The sequence below is a fragment of the Homo sapiens genome, chromosome 6, assembly GCF_000001405.40.
Source record: "Homo sapiens chromosome 6, GRCh38.p14 Primary Assembly".
NCBI lineage: Eukaryota > Metazoa > Chordata > Mammalia > Primates > Hominidae > Homo > Homo sapiens.
In genome coordinates this window covers 87501445-87523636 of record NC_000006.12, presented here as the reverse complement: position 1 = coordinate 87523636, position 22192 = coordinate 87501445, and the positions used below count along the sequence as shown (strand labels likewise).

At 37.1% G+C, this 22192-nt stretch overlaps 2 protein-coding genes across 41 annotated transcripts in view; one reads left to right on the top strand and one right to left on the bottom strand.

Annotated features, from left to right (window-relative positions):
• Positions 1 to 9699, top strand: part of RARS2 (arginyl-tRNA synthetase 2, mitochondrial) — a 76050-nt gene extending 66351 nt beyond the window's left edge. For 14 of the 39 annotated variants that reach the window (NR_146747.2, NR_146741.2, NR_146757.2 and 11 more), the window contains 9 exons: positions 2113 to 2173; positions 3381 to 3457; positions 3930 to 4054; positions 4746 to 4813; positions 4898 to 5007; positions 5373 to 5468; positions 6757 to 6831; positions 8617 to 8680; positions 9138 to 9699. Coding sequence is in view for 16 of the 39 variants with exons in the window: in NM_020320.5 (NP_064716.2) it covers positions 2113 to 2173; positions 3381 to 3457; positions 3930 to 4054; positions 4746 to 4813; positions 4898 to 5007; positions 5373 to 5468; positions 6757 to 6831; positions 8617 to 8680; positions 9138 to 9224 (763 nt within the window). In the remaining 23 variants the exon portion in view is untranslated. The other 25 variants (NR_146754.2, NR_146738.2, NR_146740.2 and 22 more) reach the window with 7 other exon arrangements.
• SLC35A1 (solute carrier family 35 member A1) overlaps positions 11301 to 22192 on the bottom strand; it is a 39363-nt gene continuing 28471 nt past the window's right edge. Inside the window, exons 5-8 of one of the 2 annotated variants that reach the window (NM_006416.5) lie at positions 17189 to 17255; positions 15041 to 15217; positions 14462 to 14596; positions 11301 to 12238 (exon numbers count right to left, since the gene is read on the bottom strand). In NM_006416.5, coding sequence (NP_006407.1) covers positions 12111 to 12238; positions 14462 to 14596; positions 15041 to 15217; positions 17189 to 17255 — 507 coding nt within the window. In that variant the 3' untranslated portion in view covers positions 11301 to 12110. The remainder of the gene's footprint in view (positions 12239 to 14461; positions 14597 to 15040; positions 15218 to 17188; positions 17256 to 22192) is intronic. The other variant, NM_001168398.2, reaches the window with a different exon arrangement.

Sequence of the window (22192 nt, the reverse complement as noted above, 5' to 3'; positions counted from 1 at the left end):
AGAAAAGGGGCCCTATGACATGAAGTCTCTATAACTATCCTAATTTGGTGTTTTTTCAGGCTGTCATTAGATGTAGACTTTTCTGTGTATTTACCTTAACACCTGTACTTTCTCTTTTTTCTTTGAAAATAATTGTCTTTTTGCCACTTATTGAAATGTTTGATTTTTTCACTTTGCTTTAATGTCAGTTGCTTCTGCCTTCTAATGGGTTTCTTATAGAATACCTTTGTGTGGGGGATGTAAATGAAAGTTGTTATAGCAGACAAAACTGCAGGAGAATACTGAAAAGAACAGAGTGTGAGGCTGGAGACCTGGGACTGTCGTTTAACTCTCTGGGCCATGATTCTCTACTTTGTGAAATGAGAGATCTGGACTAAATGACCTAGCACGTCTTCTGGCTTTGAAATTCAGTTTCTACAAACTCAACCTAGAAATTTTTCTTATTCTTTTTTGTTTTTTGATTGAATCAAAAAATTTCCCTTTGTTTTGTCCTTATCTTAAACCAAAAAAATATAACAGGTGTCTATTTGTGACATCATTTTTGTGATAATCTGCTCTACAACTGTTTCTCAACATTTTAAAAATTATAATTCCTCCAAGCAACCTTTTCAGCCATATTTTTCCTAATTGCCAATCCTCATGAAATTTTATCCCACAGATATTCTGTATCTCTGTATATATTGTATACATATCTGTGGTTTATGCATGAAGAATAAGATTTTTTGTTGGCCAGCTGTAGTGGCTCACGCCTGTAATCTTAGAACTTTGGGAAGCCAAAGCAGGAGGATCACTTGAGGCCAGAAGTTTGAAAGCAGCCGGGACAATATAATGAGACCCATCTCTACAAAAAATATGCAGTGGCTCTTGCCTGTATTCTCAGGACTTTGGGAGGACGAGGAGGGTAGATCACCTGAGGCCAGGAGTTTGAAACCAGCCTGGCCAACATGATGATACCCCATTTCTACTAAAAACACAAAAATTAGCCAGTTTTTGCCTTCATTGAGAATGCATGCTCTGTGCAATGTCAGGATCATGAGATAGGTACTAATGACATTTTGATGATCCCTAACATTTTGAAAGATCGAGAAATTTTTTCAGTCTTTCCAGTATCATATATAATCAAAAATAGCTCTAATTTTAAATTTTAATATTTCATAATCCTTGACTTGAAGTTTTGGTTTATGAAATTTTATGGTTTTTCATTATTTCATATGCAAACTAGATATTTGTATCTAATCAGAGATAAAAGAGATAGAAATTCTGTCAAAGGACTTTATGGTCTTTTTTTTTTTTTTTTTTTTTTAATTGAGACGGTGTCTTGCTCTGTTGCTCAGTCTGGAGTGCAGTGGTGCGATCTTCGCTCACTGTAAACTCCACCTCCTAGGTTCAAGCGATTCTCCTGCCTCAGCCTCCTGAATAGCTGGGATTACAGGCGTGCGCCACCACGCCCAGCTAATTTTTGTATTTTTAGTAGAGACGGGGTTTCACCATGTTGGTCAGGCTGGTCTCAAACTCCTGACCTCGTGAACCTCCCGCCTTAGCCTCCCAAAGTGCTTGGGATTACAGGCGTGAGCCGCCACACCTGGCCGACTTTATGGTCTTTTAAATGCGTTAGAAGGTATTCCCCCTGACTGACCCAAGACTTTGAAAGTCCTTAGTAATACTAATAGGAGAGTATCTAGACAATACCTGTTTACTACATCATCTATATTTTAAATATGTTCATTAAGAGAATATATTGCAGAGAAGTAACAGGTGATTCTTTTTAGTAGAGACTTAATCATAAAACATTTATCTACAAGACACTTCACCCAGAGCTATTTTAGTTGTTATTACTACTTGTTGTAGAACTTTTATGTATTAATTTTATTTATTTATATTTATTTTAGGTTTTGCTTTTCCCAGTGTTTTTATTGTTGTTTTTCCCAAACCTATTTTTATCATTTTATATCAAAACATGATATTCGGATTATCTAAGTGTGGGTGGAATTCCTCAGGCTGTGGTATAATTTAAATTCTTAATTAGAAAATGCTCATTGCTATTAAATAGGTAAGACCAATTATTACCCGGATCTGCTTAGTAACTCTTGGTTTATGGCCACTTTGTTTCAGAGATCTTGCAGCTGCTATAGATCGAATGGACAAGTATAATTTTGATACAATGATATATGTGGTAAGTAATCAGAACAAAAAGTTATGATCTCTTAACTCATGAAAACTACAGAGGTAGAAATTGGATGCCATGTTGAAAAACTATGGAAAACTACAGAGAGAAGTCAACATTAAGTATGTTTAAAGTGGGCAACTTCTATTTAAAAGTTTAAACACTTAAAAATGAAAAAGTTTACATTGCTTCATAGTAAGAAAAAATTACCTGAATCAGTAAGATGGTTATGTGAAATTAATATATACAGGTCACTATAATACCAAGTTTTTTTGTTTTTTATTTTTCAATTCTGATTTGGGCTCAACAGTTGTTTTTAAATAACTTTATTTTGAAGTAATTTAATACTCACAAGAAGTTTCAAAATAGTACGGTGTTTCCCCCCAAAGATAGTACATAACCATAGTACTTTTATCAATAGCAGGAAATTAACATTGATAGAGACCTTACTGAAATTTCGCCAGCTTTTACATGTACTCTCCTGTAAATGTTTGTGTGGCTATGGTTTTATGAGACTTTATCACATGTATAGATTCATGTAACCATCACCACATTCAGAATATAGAACTGTTCCATCACAAAACAAACTCCCTCGTGGTCAGCCACTTAATAATCACACCTTCACCCAATCCTAACCCCTGGCAGCCAGTGCTCTGTTCTTCAGCACAATTTTGTCACTCTAAGAATGTTGTATAAATGGAATTATACCATATGTAACCTTTGAGATTGGCTTTTTTCACTCAGTATAATGAATGCCCTGGAGAACTATCCAGGCTGTCCTGTGTGTCAGTAGTTGGTTCCTTTTATTGCTGAGTGGTATTCTAGTATCTTTTCCCCTTTCCTTACTTATCATGTGAAACCTTCCTTTCCACTTAGAAGAAAGTTACCATCAAATATTTATTTAGAGTTTAGCTTTGGTCTCAGAGACCAGGGTCATAATAGCCGAGAGGGCAGAAACTTAAATAGAATACTCAGAAGATTGAAGTTCACATTTCCTACTGACTCGGTGGAGTTGTATGGCTCTTATTTCCCTCCCTTGTAGAGCAGTCCACTTAGACACTCTTCTTGTGGCATCCTCTTTGTGTTTAGTTAAAACATATCAATTGACGACTTTAGTCTGTCAGACCTCAAATATCTTAATTTGATTCAAGTCCAACCTATTTTTATACATTAATTTGTCAGTATTCTTTTATTTTATATATATTTTCTTCCCAAGACAGATAAAGGACAAAAAAAGCATTTTCAGCAAGTATTCCAAATGCTGAAGATCATGGGATATGACTGGGCAGAAAGGTAATGTCTGCATGGTTCTTAATTGTCTGTGCAGGGTCAGCTGAGCCTGAAAATGTACCTAGTGGTTAAAGTTTTTCACTCAGATTTCAATTCTTTGTTTCAAGATACTGGTGTGGAAAGGTAGATTTGATTTTTGTATTATGTCTTGGTTATAATAATTTCCACCTTATAAACATTAAATAACTGTATTTTTACTAGTTATCTGCTCTCAGTGGCTTAGTTTTCAAAATTCTTAATCCACATCTCCTTTTTCTCCTAAAGGCAACTAGTAGTGTAATCACATGCTGGTGATTATAAAGTGAAGCTGTGCTTAACGTCCTTTGTAGCATACAAATCACATCAATTTCATTTTATTAATTTTTAAAAACTCTGCTCTGATGGTTAAAGTTCAAACCACTCTCTGAAAGGTATTATATGCTTTCAGCAGCAGCTCTTGTTTAGCTTTCAGTTAACTAGATGCCCACTCTTTTAGGTGCCAGCACGTGCCCTTTGGAGTAGTACAGGGAATGAAGACTCGAAGAGGAGATGTCACTTTCCTGGAAGATGTTTTAAATGAGATTCAATTAAGGATGCTACAGAACATGGCTTCAATTAAGAGTGAATTCAGTTTTTTCTTATTAAAGTCATAACTTACGTGCCACTTTTATGTTATTCTGGACTTTGGGCAGTGTGATTTATTATGTCTGTCCCTCCATTGAAGTGTCACTAACTTTGTCAAAAATACCTTTCACTAATTAGAGGTGCCAGAATTTTTATACTCGCTACTCAGGAATTGGTCACTTCAATAATCTGAATTACTATAACCTTGGTCCTCTTTTCATGAACAGCTTGAGCACTGACATTCTGTTGTCTAGGTGATTACGTGAAGTTTCTATGTTATAATTTGGATACAAGTCACCAGTCCTTATGACTTTAATTAACCTTCACCCTTGGAAAACTAAGTATCAGATATATATAGATATATATATATACACACACACACACACACACACACATATATATTTATATATATATACACACATACATATATATATATAAAATCAGAAATCCAAATTTATTTTTCCTACAAGTATCTTTTGAATAAATAAATTTGGATTTCTTTCCCTTTAATGTAGGCAGGGGAAATGTCATTATCAAAGGTAAAATAGCCTAAATTAGGCAAGTAATTACTCATTCTGAATCTGTTCTTGATTGTCAGCATACATTTTTGGCAGATGTTACCTTCACTTGGATCCATGATTGGCACAGTGTCATGTAGACTAAAGATAGCTGCCTTTGTCTGTTTCAGCAACTAAAGAACTCAAGAACCCACAAGAGACTGCAGAGAGGGTCGGGCTCGCAGCACTCATTATTCAGGTCTGTTAAGACTCCTACCTGTGAGGCCCTTTTGTTTGGTACTAGAGCAAATCCCAGCAGTGAAGATTTCCTCTGTCGTTTTAGGACTTCAAAGGTTTACTCTTATCTGACTACAAGTTCAGCTGGGATCGTGTTTTCCAGAGTCGCGGGGACACAGGAGTCTTCCTACAGTACACACACGCCCGCCTCCACAGGTGAGAAGAGGCTGCAGGGAAACCTTGTGCTGCACTGTGCTTACTTAGGCTAGGTCCTGTGATTCTAAGACCAGAGGCCCTGTTTTCTGGGCTTTTCCAATATCTTCTATTCACATCTGACTAGAGTAGACCTTCTTTTAGGAAAAAAAAAAAATTTATTGAGCACCTATGTTAGAAATACATTTATGTGTATTATCTTAGTCCTCAGAATAACCCTGTCGAAAAATATACTGTTACCTCCACTGTGTATGGATATTAAGGAGACCAAAATTGTGTATTATAAGGTCATGTTCATCACTTGCAGCTCTGTGCCCTTGTATGACTTTTTAATCTTTTGATGTTTTTAACTTTAAACTTTTGATAAGTTTGGAAGAGACTTTTGGATGTGGGTACCTGAATGACTTCAACACTGCTTGTTTACAAGAGCCACAGTCTGTTTCAATTCTTCAGCATCTTCTCAGGTATGATGTTTTCCAGGGATCATCAAGTGTGCTTCTGCTTATCAAAATGGCTATTAGCATTTTTGCTGCCCAGTAGAGTCAACAGTCCAGTAGCTGCCTTCTGCCTCTAGACTTTTCCCAAAGGTATGCCTTAAAAAGTGATTATTTGCATTTTGAGGACAGAGGGCATAGATTAAGCCAATGCCCAAGGAGGACAGTCTTTGGGTCTTCAGAATATTATCACTGATGAATAGCGCACATGTCTAGCTGCCTCTAGCTCACATAAAGCCTTATAAAAGCATAACCTTTTTTAGTTTTAGTTTGAGAAAGAGCATCTTCTTGCTCTCTGTGGTAAGTGAAGGAAAATACCTGCCTTTGTGCAGCTTCCCAGAGACCGTAAGTCCTTCATTTGCCTCTTGGTTTCGGTTCACAATCTCAAATACATATATGTATGTGATGCTCCCATGCTAGGCAAGACACCCACACATTTTAGCTCTGACGGGCATTGTTGGTGAAGCCAAACATGCCAGAGATTAGTCTCTAGAAGGGATGTGGATGGTTATGAACAAGGTGGTTTTCTTTGATTGCCATATAGTAGTCAGTGGTTCTTTCCTGGAATCAGAAAAATTTACTCACATGTACAATAGGGAATGTACGGAAAAATAAGCCAACTGGGTTTTCTTAGCATTGAGGGTAGACTTTGCTAATTTATATTTTATATTCTTAAACATGGCTGGAGGCTTTTTACATTCACCAGCCATGATTTAAGTTTTTGCTGTGGACTAGGTCTAGGAAATAGCAAGATGATTTAGAAAGTCCCTGCCATCAAAGAATTTGGAAGAAAGAAAAATGTTCCTTTGCCTTCAAATGTACACACAGTTTTTTCATATCCTTCTACTCTTCTTTTTTTTTGAGACGGAGTCTTGCTCTGTTGCCCAGGCTAGAGTACAGTGGCTGGATCTCGGCTCACTGAAACCTTCACCTCCCGGGGTCAAGTGATTCTTCTGCCTTAGCCTCCCAGGTAGCTGGGACTATAGGCGCGTGCCACCACACCTGGCTAATTTTTGTATTTTTAGTAGAGAATGGGGTTTCATCATATTGGCCAGGCTGCTCTCAAACTCCTGACCTCATGATCCACCCACCTCAGTCTCCCAAAGTGCTGGGATTACAGACGTGAGACACTGCGCCTGGCCATACCTTCTACTCTTAATCGTGTCGAGTCAACCTTATATTCACAATCTTTTAATGTCTAATGTCTTAGTGTAATGTGTACAGTCTTTTCCTGTTCACTGTTCCTGTCATCTTTTAGGTTCGACGAGGTGCTTTATAAATCATCTCAGGACTTTCAACCCAGGCATATCGTCAGTTACCTTCTAACTTTAAGGTACTTTATAATCTTCCTGTTTTCAGGTGTTAATGGCATTTGAGACCTTTCTTTCATCTAAAGGTTTCCTGTAAACAAATTCCTTGGCCTAAAATTTGATGTGCTTTTAGTTACAGGAATTATTGCTTCATCTATACAAATTAGCAGTTAATGTTCCTTCATTCATTCAGTGATACAAGGTACTGTCACTGTAGACTGGAGAATGGGAACTGACAACTACAGTTACAGCACAGTGCATGTGTTATGTTAGAGTGAACGTAAGAGATGGTGTTAGGGCAACCAGCCCAGCCTTGAGCGATCAGAGAGGGCTTCTCAGAGGAAAGGAGATATTAATCAGAAGGAATGTGGCTGGGAAGAAGAAGAAAGCCCAGAGTTGAGCAAGAACGTAATAATACATTTTAAAGGATCCATAAGCATTGTCCTGGGAGGGCTGATGAATGAAGCGTGTATAAACCTGTTTGCCATGTACTGAGGCATTTAAACTTATTTTCGGGGTGGTGGGGTCCATACAGGGATTTTAAGCAGAGGCACAGAAAAATAAGCTAGAAAACTTAATTTTTCTAATCTTTAATGACAATTTCATGGTGTCTATTTTAGCAAATTGAAATCAAAATTGAGTCCACCCTTGTATAGCAGCAGCAGCTGTATCTTCTGTAAAGCCATTTAATAAAGGAAATGTTGCTTTTACTCAACAAGTATTGAAATCAGACACTTAACAGGACTGTTTTCTTGATTATACTTTTTACCTTGTCTTCTCTAGATTTATGTAAGGATTTTTTTCTTCCTTTAAATGACACTTAAGACATACAGAGGTGAAGAAGCTACAAAGTCTTTTTTTTTTTTTTTTCTTTTTTTTGAGATGGTGTCTCGCTCTGTTGTCCAGGCTGGAGCGTGATCTCGGCTCACTGCAACCTCCACCTGCTGGATTCAAGCGATTCTCCTGCCTCAGCCTCCCTAGTAGCTGGGATTACAGGCACGTGCCATCATGCCCAGCTAATATACCAAGTCTTATGAAATGTCATTTTATCATTAAAACTGATGTCTTAAGTATCATTTCTCCGGCACATTGTTATACTTGCTGCCATACCTAAATTTAAAAAGATACTTTAAAGAGTGGCCAGTGTGTGTGGAGAGTGGATAGTTTCTACCCACCTCACTGTACAGAGGGAAAGGCCATGCTGTGTTATACATTGGATTGTAGGCTGCCTAAATGAGGAAAAATGATTAGAAAAGGATTCTTTATATTTGTAAAATTAACATTGAAATCATAATCTTTTTTTTTTTTTGAGACAGAGTCTCGCACTCTTGCCCAGGCTGGAGTGCAGTGGCGTGATCTCGGCTCACTGCAAGCTCTGCCTCCTGGGTTCACGCCATTCTCCTGCCTCAGCCTCCCGAGTAGCTGGGACTACAGGCGCATGCCACCACGCCCGGCTAATTTTTGTATTTTTAGTAGAGACGGGGTTTCACCATGTTAGCCAGGATGGTCTCGATCTCCTGACCTTGTGATCCACCCGCCTCGGCCTCCCAAAGTGCTGGGATTACAGGCGTGAGCCACTGCGCCCTGCGAAATCATAATCTTAAGAATTGCCCACCTCTTAGTAGTAGAATAGGGCCAAGATCTAAAGCTTGAGTTTTGAATTCCAGTTTCAACTTCACAATTTTGAATACATCCTTTAATGGTTCTGGGCTTTATTAAGTTGAAGGAGTAAGATTAGATATCAAGCTCATATCTTACAACAGGAAATTACTGCTGGTACTATCGTGATTTCTCTCTTCCTGTTTCAGTCATCTTGCAGCTGTGGCACACAAAACACTACAAATAAAAGATAGTCCTCCTGAAGTGGCTGGGGTACGTTATGTTGAATGTTTTCTGTATAATCCCTAGCTCCTGAGACTAATATTACTAAGTCAGTCTTGTAAATTTTTCTAAAATAGCATTCTGTTGTTCAACTGTAGCAGTATACTTCCTTAGCTAATAATTAGGCTGTAACAATCAATGTGTATATACTTCCCAACATACTAGACTATAAAGCACATTTTCCTACATGAAATATTACAGTGATAAGTTCCCCTTATCTGAAGCCATACTGTATAATACTATCACTCCCACTCCATGACACTTTATGTACAGGTTTTACTGTAAGGGATGCCAGGAATTTATCTTCTCTTGCCTATAGTAACTCTAGGGCACTTTGACATATTGTTCCTGCTTTAAACTAGAAAGAATAACCTTTAAAACCATTCTCATGTATTGAATACATTCCTGTTACTGAATATTTTAAATCATTCTTTGATTTATTTTGTAGGCCAGACTTCATCTTTTCAAAGCTGTCCGTTCTGTCCTAGCCAATGGAATGAAACTTCTTGGAATAACACCTGTATGTAGGATGTAATTTCCATTAAAATGGCTTTTAAAATGTCAAGTGAATTCTAGTTATCTATTCTGAGATGCCTTGCTGTTCAGAATAAATTTAAATTTTTTTTTTTTTTTTTTGAGATGGAGTTTCGCTCTTGTTGCCCAGGCTGGAGTGCAATGGTGTGATGTTGGCTCACTGCAACCTCCACCTCCCAGGTTCAAGCAATTCTCCTGCCTCAGCCTCCTGAGTAGCTGGGATTACAGGCACGTGCCATCACGCCAGGCTAATTTTGTATTTTTAGTAGAGACAGGGTTTCTCTATGTTGGTCAGGCTGGTCTTGCACTCCCGACCTCAGGTTATCTGTCTGCCTTGGCCTCCCAAAGTGTTGGGATTAGAGGCATGAACCACCACGCCCAGCCAAAGTTAAACTATTATTCTGTGTCAGAATCTGTATTAAATGTGACTTGTCAAGTTATTCAGTCTTTATCCTTAAATAAATGAGTTATCTGAATTCTCTCATGGTCAGTAGGTATTTAAATAGACATTGAGTTTTTTAAACCCAAAGCATTGTGGTCTAATGGGGCTAAAGGATTTGAGTTTAAACTTTGGCTTGAAGTTTCTTACCATGTCATTCTTCCAGAAACTATTCTTATAACTGAAATGATTTAATGTTTTCATGAAATAAAAGAATTGGTGAGGGGAAAATATTATCAATTTTCTTGTAATTGTGGCTAGTTTGGAGTAAACATAGGGAGATCAAAAATAAGCACCGTTCTGTCAATATAGCTGACAGCTACTCCTAGAGACAATAGACCTCGTGCTTCCCTTTGAGTTAATATATACAGGGCTGGGCGTGGTGGCTCATGCCTATAATCCCAGCACTTTGGGAGGCTGCGGCGGGCAAATCACGAGATCAGTAGATCGAGACCATCCTGGCTAACACGGTGAAACCCCGTATCTACTAAAAATACAAAAAAAGTAGCCAGGCGTGGTGGCGGGGCCTGTAGTCCCAGTTACTCGGGAGGCTAAGGCAGGAGAATGGCGTGAACCCAGGAGGCGGAACTTGCAGTGAGCCGAGATCGCACCACTGCACTCCAGCCTGAGCGACAGGGCGAGATTCTGTCTCAAAAAAAATAAATAAAAAATATATATATATATATATATATATATACACACACACACACAGGTAACTCTTATTGTGTGAATTCAGGAACTAAATACATTTTAATAGGAAGGAATTACTTGTAAAGACGTTGAATTAGGATCTTTTTGTAAAATGTAGTCCATTAATTCAACCATAATTTGAAATGGAGTTTCTTATGGTTTCCTTCATGTATCTATCTTCATATTTTTGTGTGGCTTCATTAGATAACATGAGCATGGCTTAGGAAACAAGAGTAGGATGTGATGTGTTTGATCAGTACGGCCATTCCCATCAGCCAGCATTTCCATTCAGGTCTGCTATAATTTATTCTAAATGTTGCTAATAGTAGGCTTTTGAATACCAGTGACGGTCTATTTACCAAGTTAGCACAACTGAAGCTTCTCTAGTTAGAGTGAAAATTGTTTCATATTAGCAACTATGGCTTACCTTCTTAGTCCTAGAAAAGATTCAGCCTTGCAGTTCCAATTTAAGTGAATTAGCTCCCAGATAGCTAATTTTCGACTTAAAGTAGTGTCACATTTTTCTTAGCATAAACCAGCCATGGGATAAAAATATAAAGTAGGGACATGTTTTACACATCCAATATCCCTCTCTACTTGTTTGAAGAAACTTTCCCCTTCCAAGATCAGTAGTGTCTTCCCGAGTATTTGAATCGTGAGTGAAACCATACAGGAACAGTAATAGGTAAAGCCAGATCTTTACAAAAGCTGAAAAGACAACTGTCCATTAATTCTTAGAACCTAGACGCCTGTAGCCCTGATTGTGGACCTTCTTAAAAATTCTTTCTTTTTTGCTTAAGGCTTGCCAGAGTTGAGTTGATTTGCAGCCAGAGAACCCTAACCGATAGACTTCCACATATAGAAAATAAAAGTGCATTTCTACATATAGAAAATAAAAGTGCATTATCTTAATGGTCATATCTATAATATAAAGTGATTAAACAATTCTTTCTTACAAATAAAGTTTATTGCTGAATTTCCCCATTAACATTATAGAAAACACTGAAATTTCACAAATTATTGAGAGCCCAACAGTTAAACATACTTTATTTAAAAAAGTACAAAAGTGACATTAGAAATTTTTTTGAAGAAATGTGTATCATCTAACAGAAAAGAAATATGAACCAGATAATGAATGGCACAAATATAGCACTAAAGGGGTACTCACTAAAGGGGTACTCAGTCACCACCCAGAAATTGTCCGAGTTATGAAATAGATTCATTTTGAGAAGTTACACAGTTTGTTTATGAACTAGCCTGTCTTGTTTCTGCCTCTTGTAAGAAAAGAGCTAGGTCTTTATGCTGCTAGGACAAAATACTGTACATGAATTGGAGAATAAGGAGGGGTCATCCTTCTCCCCGGTACCGGAACAAGAGAACAGTTAGTACAGAAATGGCTTTGGCACTTTAACCCTTAGACATTGTCCCAAACCTTGTTACTTGAGTATTGTAGCCTTACCATGATTTTTTTTAACACCGTATCATCTCCATACTTTTTATTTACAAATTATATATACACACAATAATACAATTCCTTCATTCTAAAACAATAGTAGACCCCAAACAGGTCTACATTAAGTTTCTGTATTAGCAGTTCACTCAGATAGCTTCGTTTGTTTGTTGTTGTTTCCACATAACCGCACTGATCATGCCATACAGTTAATTTTTATTTGTTTATGCTACCTTCTGAGATTGACTTAAGGCTCTAGTTTAATGCAAATGGTTTAGTCTTAAAAGGAGTCTCACGTGAGGCTAAAATCACACACCAATAACTCTCTCCTTTGAAGCTGTTTCTCCTTGTTGGATGGATGTAGTGTCTTGTCTGGGTAATCCATAGAGATATATGGAAACACATACAAGAAGAGTACCCAGGGCAAAGGTGAGTGCTGAAAAGAAAAAAAAAAATAGCTTTATCTGTATGTGTGTCTTTAAAATGCCTAATGATCAGTTTAAAATTTTGAAAACTCTTAATTGTGGGTTTACACTATCAGATCATATTTTTATGATGGCAAGGTTTAGAAAGGTCTTCCATTACAGCCAAAAAAAAGGAGAGGGGGAGGCAGGGCGGGTAAAATCAAGGCAGTGTTTTGTTGATCACTGATTACAGACTTTTTAGAACATGAGTATGCCTAACTGACACTATCTGACCACTCTGACAAAGAACATAACTAATTTCCCTATAAAATATATAATTTTTTTTAAATGTAAGTATAAATATATATAAGTACAAAAGAAAATGTGGTAGGATTGGCTTTTCCGTGACAACCAGGAACCTGTGAAAGTTTAGAGTAAAAGACAGGTGACCAATCATTCAAACCATTGATAATTTCTTAATCGGAGATGAGGCGATAATTTACTGAATAAAACTACATTTCCTACTAGTCTTAACCCTTTTTTCATCTTTTTTTTTTTTGAGACGGAGTTTCGCTTTTGTTGCCCAGGCTGGAGTGCAATGGCGCAATCTCGGCTCACCGCAACCTCTGCCTCCCAGGTCCAAGCAATTCTCCTTCCTCAGCCTCTCGAGTAGCCGGGAGGAGCATGCGCCACCGTGCCCAGCCAATTTTGTATTTTTAGTAGAGACAGGATTTCTCCACGTTGGTCAGGCTGGTCCCCAACCTCAGGTTATCACCCGCCTCAGCCTCCCAAAGTGCTGGGATTACAGACATGAGCCACCATGCCCGGCACCTTTTTTCATTTTAATCTTAAAAATCAGGATGCAAGAAACCAAATCATAACTTGTCCTAACTTGACAAATAAATATATTTATATGACATCAAGCTTTATTTTAGTTCACTCCTAACTAAAAAAGACCAGCTTTGCCTTCAAAAAAGGAGAAGGTAGGATAAAAACTTGTATCTAAACAGTTAACTGAAAGATTGCTAAGACATGCTAGTTGACCATCAGTAAGAACATTAAACAAAAGCATTTTCTACTGTTCCTATATATTTCTTATGAGCAATGGTATAAGGATTTTGTTGAACATAAAGATAGATCAGAATTACAGCTAAAAGTTCACCCAAATCAGGTAGAAAAACATCTAAGGGAAAGCCTATAAGTACCTGATACTGAAATGGTAAGTGGTTGGTAAGTAGTGTCAAACACTACTCTAAGCACTTCACCTGAAAACACCACTAGGCAATAGGTGATATTATTCCCATTTTACAGATGAAGAAAGTGTCACCCAGGGAATATAACTTCCCCAAGGCTGCACAGTTAAGAAATGGTACAGGCAAGATTTGCCACAGACTATACATGGTTTTCTAAAATTTCTACAACACTATTTCCATTTATATACAGGAGTCAATTTTAAAATGAAATGTAAATATAAGCCAGGTCTCTTTTACTTAATATATTTAACAGATATTCTTCATACATTGGTTTATATTATAATAATTGATCAGTAAAGAAAATTATTACACTATAAAAGCACCCTGAAATGTTAAGTCAATATCATTGCTTAAATAATTTAGAAGCCAAATTAATGCTGGGTGTGAGAGTTGGGAAAATTATATTAGGACTAACAAAGCAGTGGTACTGGAATGCCAGCTATATTAATGAGTTTTGTATTAATTACATATTGAATGAAACAAAGATACAAAAGACAAAATCTAGATTTTGATTGTTTTCAAAACCGTCTCACACCCAAATGCAAAGCAGTTGGAAAGTACAAGCTGAGGGAGGACTAAAAGATGTTTTCTACATTCTTCTAAATAATGAGCCAATATAGTTTAAACTGACTGCTGAAAATAATTTCCTAAAGTCTTTATATGTATTTCCTTGAGTACCTTCTCACATTCAGACACTCAAGTTGTCCTATATACAATACCTAAAAATACAGGGAGGCCTTGACTGCAAAAAAAGTCCCCTCACTTTCACATAGAACTAGCACCCCTCGTCTTAACCTCTAAGACCACCTAAACAACCAAAGTACTGCTTAGCCACATCCCACACAACTATGAACAGCTGTACTGGTGGAATAAACTGTAGTAACAAAGCTAGGAATTTCTGTAAACAGTATGACCAACTGCCACTTTTAAATAAGGGATTAAATGAATCAAGGAAATGGGAGGCTCTTCCATGTTAAAAACTCAACACAAACTAAGACATACTTATCTGTAATCCAAACAGCATTACTGAAGCAATGGTGGAAAGGACAATGGCCGCTGCTGCAGAAAAGCCTTTCATGATGTTGTCTGTGTACTTAACCACAACAGAAGTGTAGAGGCCACCAACACTTGCAAGAACTTGTATACAGAGAGAAATAAAATCTTATCACTCAAATAAATGAAACATTACATAATGGTGAGGCAATTTTCATCCCCAGAGATGCCATACTTTACCTAGGAAAAGGAAAATACTGTTTTCCTTAGAAGGAGCCATCTGAGAGTTTGTACTAAAATTGGTAGTTCCTATATAACACTGTTTTTCCAAAACAATGCCCAGAGGGCTATGTGGTCTATTAAATTTTACACATTTTTTGCTAATGTTAGATATTTTGGGGCATTGCTATCCCAAAGCAATTTTGCCTTCACAATCAAAACTAAGTCAACAAAATGAAAATTATATTCAAACTGGTATTTACAGTATCAAAGGATTAATTTCAAAATGTTATAACAGCTTAAAATGGACATCTAACTTAAAAAAAAAATAAAGGATCTACTAAGAACCTTTAATTCCTGGATACTTACAGATGACAAACCAGACATAATATGTGTAACCATAGAAAAATCCTTTTTCTTTAATTTCAGCTCCATCTGACAAGTAGACGCCAGCTAATGTCACAATAATCCCTGATAGATACATTTGAATGTTTCTCACCCAAAGAGAAGTATCTGAACTCTTTAAAACTTTTTCAAAATATACTCCTGAAAGAAAATTAGACATGCAAATATTAAAGATTACTATAAATTAACTTAAAATGTCTTTCATTTAGAACAATACCCTAGAGATATATAAAGTATATGATTTGGGGAACAAAACATACTTTACTTAAATGTGCATTTATTATGTAGGTTGTGTGACACATGACATACTGTACATTATAAATTTATGTTTTTACAGAGTATATAGAATAATAACTAATTGGGAAGTTTATAAGCTACATTTAACAGAAGGCTGTTAAATTAAGACAGTTTCTGCCTTTATTAGAGCAGTAAGACCACAAAAGCTCTCTGTACTACTTAATGCCAGTATGTCATTTGCTTTGGTCAGCTGAAAAACTACATTAAGAGTGAATTATCTTAATCACATCCCTGTAATATCTGCCTACTAATGAATACTCCTAATTCTGCAATATAATCTATAATCACCACTAGGAATCTTTTCAGAGTAACAACCAAAACTGAAGTAGAATTTGCTGTGTAAAGCCATTTTCCTTTAAAGCAGGGTTCCACAAGCCAAGTTCATACACAAGGTCAGAAGGATCATGAACTCCCCAACTGGATAATAAATTTTGTGTATATGTGCATTTTTCTGGAGTTGAAGGTCCATAGATTTTTTCAGATACTTCAAAGGAGTACATGATACCCCTCCCCAACAAAAGTCCCCTATCTCTGGATTTATGCTTAAAATGAATGCATATTTTACAAAGCCATTAAAGATTTTAGTTATAAATATCATGCTAGAGACTTAGGAACTGCCAATGAAGTACTTATCAACTAAAAAGTCTAACGAAAAACAAGATTATTTTTGATGAGTCTGTTGGAATGGGAACATAAAATAGCTATTCTTATTTTCACCTCTGATTTTACCTTCTGGGAGAAGCATTTATCCAGTGCTCAGTTACCGTAAACACAGAGAGATATTAAACCACCCTCCATTTCCTCAATTGTGTATTAAGAGAGTGAACTAATAAAATGTTGGACATAATCATTTAACTGTTCAAAATATTGCAAAAAATCAAATAGCATATTTTTTAGGTAACTCAATTTTTGTTCCCAATTTGTTGGTTTCTAGAACACAATGCTATCAGTAAGTATATTCCTGAATTTAAATTTTCCCCTCGTATAAAACATCTTATTTACAAGCAGTATTTTACTTCTGTATTCAGCCTGCTTTCCTAGTCAAAAATAGTCCTGACTTGAAATAGGTACAAATAAATAATAAAGATGTATAGCTATAACTAATATATTCTACTAAAAGCTTTAAGCAGAATATATTAAAAACTAAATCTCTGCTGGAACTATTTCTAAAACTTTTTTTATGTTACACTTAATATTCATACTTTCTTATCTTGATGCATTGGAGGAGTGCTTGTCCCTACACATACAACGCCAGACTTCCGTGGATTGTTGATGTTAGTGATTTTGTGTTGTCTTTCCTCCCTGTTTGGTTATTAGCTTTATGTATTATGTTTTCTAAGGTACTCTCGACCCACCTCATGATCCTACTCCATAGCTCCTAACCTGTTAAAGCAGAGAAAGAACTTGAGGTTATAGGGGAAAAAAAGATACTTAGCTGGTAACATTAACAACCTAAAGCAGCAGGATCTGACTTGATAGTGGCAGTTCCAGAAAAAAGGAAAGGGCTTTCTGAAGACTAATTTCCTCCATTTTCAGAAGTCTTTTTTCATTTACTTTTGGGTTTTTGGCCGGACTGAGATGGTCAAGGATAACAGAAGTAGTTAACTGCAAGTATGAATAGGGACTGAGTCTGAACTTAGTTGAACAATGCTATACATTTACTGGAAAAACAGCTGACATAAAACTAAATATAAGCAAGAAGATCAAGTTTAATGGGAATAAAACTGAGAAAGCAAGATAAACTAGACTGGTGTCTAAAGTTTGATGTTTTCGAAAAATATGACAAAAGAATAAAACAATGCTTTCATGATTTACCTGCAAATCCTGAGCACAATACAGCAATAGCTATAGCGCCAAACCCTAATAATGGATTTTGTTCCACCTGCAATATTAATTGTTAAAGTTATTTTTAGTGACTAATAAACAGAGTTCATCCAAGAGTCCAAACAAATAAATACAAAAACCTGTTACAGTCTTACTAAAAGTATATTCCACATCAGACACAGCTATTCTACAGAATAAGACAACTAAACAAAAAGACCATTCCAGAAATTAACCAGGGCACTTGGCTTAAGTGAAAAATGTGTCCCTCAAATCACAGCCATAGTATATGCTTAATATAATATGTGCCCACTGTTTCCTAATACCAATAAGCACTCTAGCATGAACTTTTGAACAGGCCAAGTCAGCATACTACTTAATTTTAATTTCTATTATCACTCTAATTTAAGAGCTTATAGCATCAATCCTGAAAATGATAACAATTTAACTTATTTATTCCTCATCACCTACAGGATACAGTGCTGCCTCTTAAGACTCCCCAATTTATTGAATTTTTAGTATACCTTCTGTGTACCAGATACATTGTCTATACACACTGCTGTGGTTTGAATGTCAACTTCAAAACACATGTTGAGATTTAATTGCCGTTCTAACAGTATTAAGAGGTGGGCATTTAAGAGATGATTAGGTCATGAAGGCTCTGTCCTCAAGAAGGGATTGATGCCATTACTGAGGGAATGAGTTAGTTATTGAGGGAGCAGGTTTCTGATAAAAAGGATGAGTTCAGCCCACTTCCCTCTGTCACATGGGATCGCTTCTGCCTTCTGCCATAGAATGAGCCTCACCAGATGCCAGCACCGTGTTCTGGACTTCCCAGCCTCCAGAACCATGGGCCAAATAAACTTCTGTTTTTTATGAGTTACCCACTCTGCGTATTCTGTTATAGCAGCAGAAAATGGACTAAGATACATACTAAATGAATAAAGAAGATTACAATACACAGCTCTGTTATGTATAGGCAAAATTGACAAGTATATATAACCAAAATAGTGTGAGACCAGTGCTCACAGATCCAAGTATATGGGTCCTAACCCTCTGTTTCACTTTATTTTCTCTTTCTTTTCTAAACTGTCAGGAGCTTTCATCAGTCTTTCCTGAAAGATAAATACTATCTCAATAGTATCACTGAAATTAGAGGGTTGAGATTCATGACTGTAATATGACAAGGAAGTATATACCTTGTTCAAAATAAATAAGCCTGATATAAGAAAAGTGCCACTTTATGGTACCTGAGAGAGCAAGCTTGGTCTAAATTGTTTGCATGAAGATAAAAGGAGAAACAGAAGACACTGTAGACCAGTGGTTCTCAAAGTATGGACCCTGGATCAGCAGCAGTGGCACCACTGGGGGTTTGTTAGAAATAAAAACTGTCAGGCTCTACCCCAGACCTACTGAACCATAAACTATGGGAATGGGCCTAGCAATCTGTTTCAACCAACCTTCCAGTTGATTCTGATGTACGCTAAAGTTTGAGAACCACTGCTATAGACTATACATTATTAACAAGTATACTTTCCTATAATACAAATTTCAAGACTGGCATAGATAGAATAAAATCATAGTGTGAGATACCACCTATCCCAACATCTGCTGGGAAGCTCCAACTGCTAAAAATAGAGTGCCTGATAAATTCTTGACTTAGTTTCCTGCCAGTTGAATGTCTCTACAGTTAGGAAAAATAGTGATGGAAACAGCTTATCTGGACTTGATTCTGACAAGAAACTGCTGGGTGATGAAGTAGATGTGATGGGAACTTTGGCAGAAAGCAACCATGTGATCTGAGCATGAGCCAAACACAGCACAGTTAAGAGACATGTGCTCCAGTCCTGAATAAATCAAAACTCAAAAATGTAAAACTTCAAGTTAGAATTCCATGGCTCGTGAGAAGAACATTCAAGAGAGATTAAGAGTTACTGAAGAAGGAGGTTCTGGTGAAAAGTAAAAAAAAGAATACATAAGGAAATCAACATATCTAAATAAGGGCATCTTCACTGAATTCTGATTTTACAAGAACAAAGCCGAAGTACAGATCACCAAGAGGAATCTAACCAGGAATTTAAGAATAGTATCAAGAAATCGAAAACTCAGAATAAGTGGAGGCTTGCAAAAAATCCTGTAAGGCATTAAAGAAAGCTTTTTTTTTTTTTTTTCTTTTTGAGACAGGATCTTGTGGTATAATCATGGTTCACTACAGCCTCAACCTCCTCGGCTCAAGTGATCCTCCCACCTCAGCTTCCCAAGTAGCTGGGACTACAGGCATGCATCACCACATCTAGCTAAGTTTTAAATTTTTTTGTAGAGACATGGTCTCACTATATTACCCAGGCTGGTCTTGAACTCCTGGGCTCAAGCAATTCTCCCCGCCTAGACTACCTAGCTAAATAAATTTAAAAGACTATCAAGAAAAGTAGGTGAGTTAGTGTATATAAAGCATTTAGATAATGCTAGTATTTAGTGCATTATAAATGATTGCAGCTGTTATTGTTACATTGATTACCAGCAAAATGTTAGAACAGATTTAGAGATGACTTGTACTTAAAAAGCTTAATGGTCATCAGTGGAAAATAGTGTGACTTCACCAAGTGTGAAACATACCAGATTTCCTTACTGAAAGGACTCCTAATGTTAAGTGATGAGGGGAATTCCATAGAGATAATGTTTGGCAAAAAATGTGACAGACTTGCATATTATTGTTATTATTATTATTATTGAAACAGAGTCTCGCACTATCACTCGAGCTGGTGTGCAGTGGCGCGATCTCGGCTCACTGCAACCTCTGCCTCCCAGGTTCAAGCGATTCTCCTGCCTCAGCCTCCTGAGTAGCTAGGATTACAGGCGCCTGCCACCACGCCCAGCTAAGTTTTTGTATTTTTAGTACAGACGGGGTTTCACCATGTTAGCCAGGCTGGTCTCGAACTCCTCACCTGGTGATCTGCGACCAGCCACATAATATTTTTATAGACAACACAGAACTGTAGTGAGGATAAAGGTACAATCCGTAAGTGTGTGAATGCTCATACAGAAAAATGGTAGTTAATTGAACAAAATCAAGCTAGGCCATCAACCAATACCAACTTGCCAGGCATATAGATAAGCCACGTTAGAAACAGATCCTCCAGCCGTAGTCAAGTCTTCAGTTGACTGCAGCCCTAGCCAGTATCTTGACTGCAACCTCAAGCCAGAACCAGCTAGCTAAGGCACCCTCAAATTCCTGACCCATAAAAACTATGAGAGATGATATGTTCAGTAAGCAAGAAAAAGATCAAGCTAGAGAGAATTCTAAAGGTACAGCCACAGAACTCTGGTCCTGTTCTACCTAAAATTTTCATTAAAGACCCAGAAGGCATATTTTTTTTGACTCTGGAAAGCGTAATACCCAAAGGAGAAGCTAATAATGGGTAAGAACTGGAAATAACTCAAGGGGCTGAGCAATGACCCAAAGCTAACAAGAAGAGCTTAATAAATACAAACTCAACCTGCATTCTGGTTTAGAATAAGCCAGAGTTTGAGTTCTAGTGTCAATGAGAGTCTATTCCAGTCCTGACACTTGGAACCCACTTAACCAGTAGTGGAGGAGTGCATGGCAGTGCAGACAGATTGAGGGAACAGTGGGGTGAGAGGGATACAAGATACATTTGAGACAAACTATTTGGGTGACACAGTTACATGTAGTGGTTTATGATCAATTGTAAAATAGATACTTTGCCTGCCCCCCAGAAATTAACAGTCATGTACCACATAATGACATTTCAGTCCATGATGAACCACATATAAAACAGCGGTCCTGTAAGATAAAACTATATTTGTGCCTTTTCTATGTTTAGGTACGCTAAACTTACCACTGTGTTACAACTCGCTACAGTATTCAGCACAGTAACATGCTGCAGAAGTTTGTAGCCTAGGAACAATAGGCTATATACTGTACAGCCTAGATGTGTAGTAAGTAGTCTATACCATCTAGATTTGTGTAAGTATACTCCATGATGTTTGCACAACAGTGAAATCACCTAATGATGCATCTCTCAGAACCCTGAACTTACATTCTTTGTTAAGCGATGCATGACTGTATAACAAGTCTCCGGTATTCAGAACAAAGGGGTAATTACCAAACTGTGCCTCGTATTACTTAGACAACATTGGGAGACAGTGGGGTTTTAGGATATATTGAGAAATAATGACAGATGAATGCATCTAGGAGAAAAATATAAGGAAAAGTGTAGGGGCAGAAGGCAGGGATCAGGAAGTCTGTCTAGAAACCATATTATAGAAAGAAACAGTAGGGTTTTAATTGGGGAAGGAGGGGACCTGGAGGGTGGGGATATGATACTGTTCACAAGCACTGTACATCCCAGCCGCCTTCCATTCCTAAGAGAACCATAGTCTGTTTGCTAAAAGTTAGAGTAAATATTCAACTGTAGGAAACTCCTGACCTTCACAAAACTATTCACTGGCATCCCATTTCCTGTTTCTCTTTGGGGAAATAACTGATTGAGGCATACAATGTAAGAAAAAAAATCATGTATGTATCTTAGCGTTAACTCTTTAAAAATCTGTTATGTACCTTCACATTAACTCTTAAAAACTAAAGATAATTATCAATTATCAGTAAGAACACTCCTTCCCTTGTCATCCTGATCACTGACAGTAGGGAGATGTGCCAGAGACTGACAGTTGAGAGAGAAGATGAAAACTAGATGCAGAAAAACCTTGCCCAGTGTTTCTGAGATGTTTGAAAGAGGTCTAGAAGTTCTAAACATATACAGTATGGAAACTGGCACAGTTGTGGTCACAAGTTAGCTATTAACTAATTTAGGACAAGTTCCTTCACCTCTTTGGGGACTGTCATCCATAAAATGGAGGGGATGGAACACATTATTTCTAAGGTATGTTCCATCTGTAACATATTTTATGCATATTCTCCTCTGAGAAACAACCAATAAGTATTATTATCCCTAATAATATGCTAAAGAAAAAAGG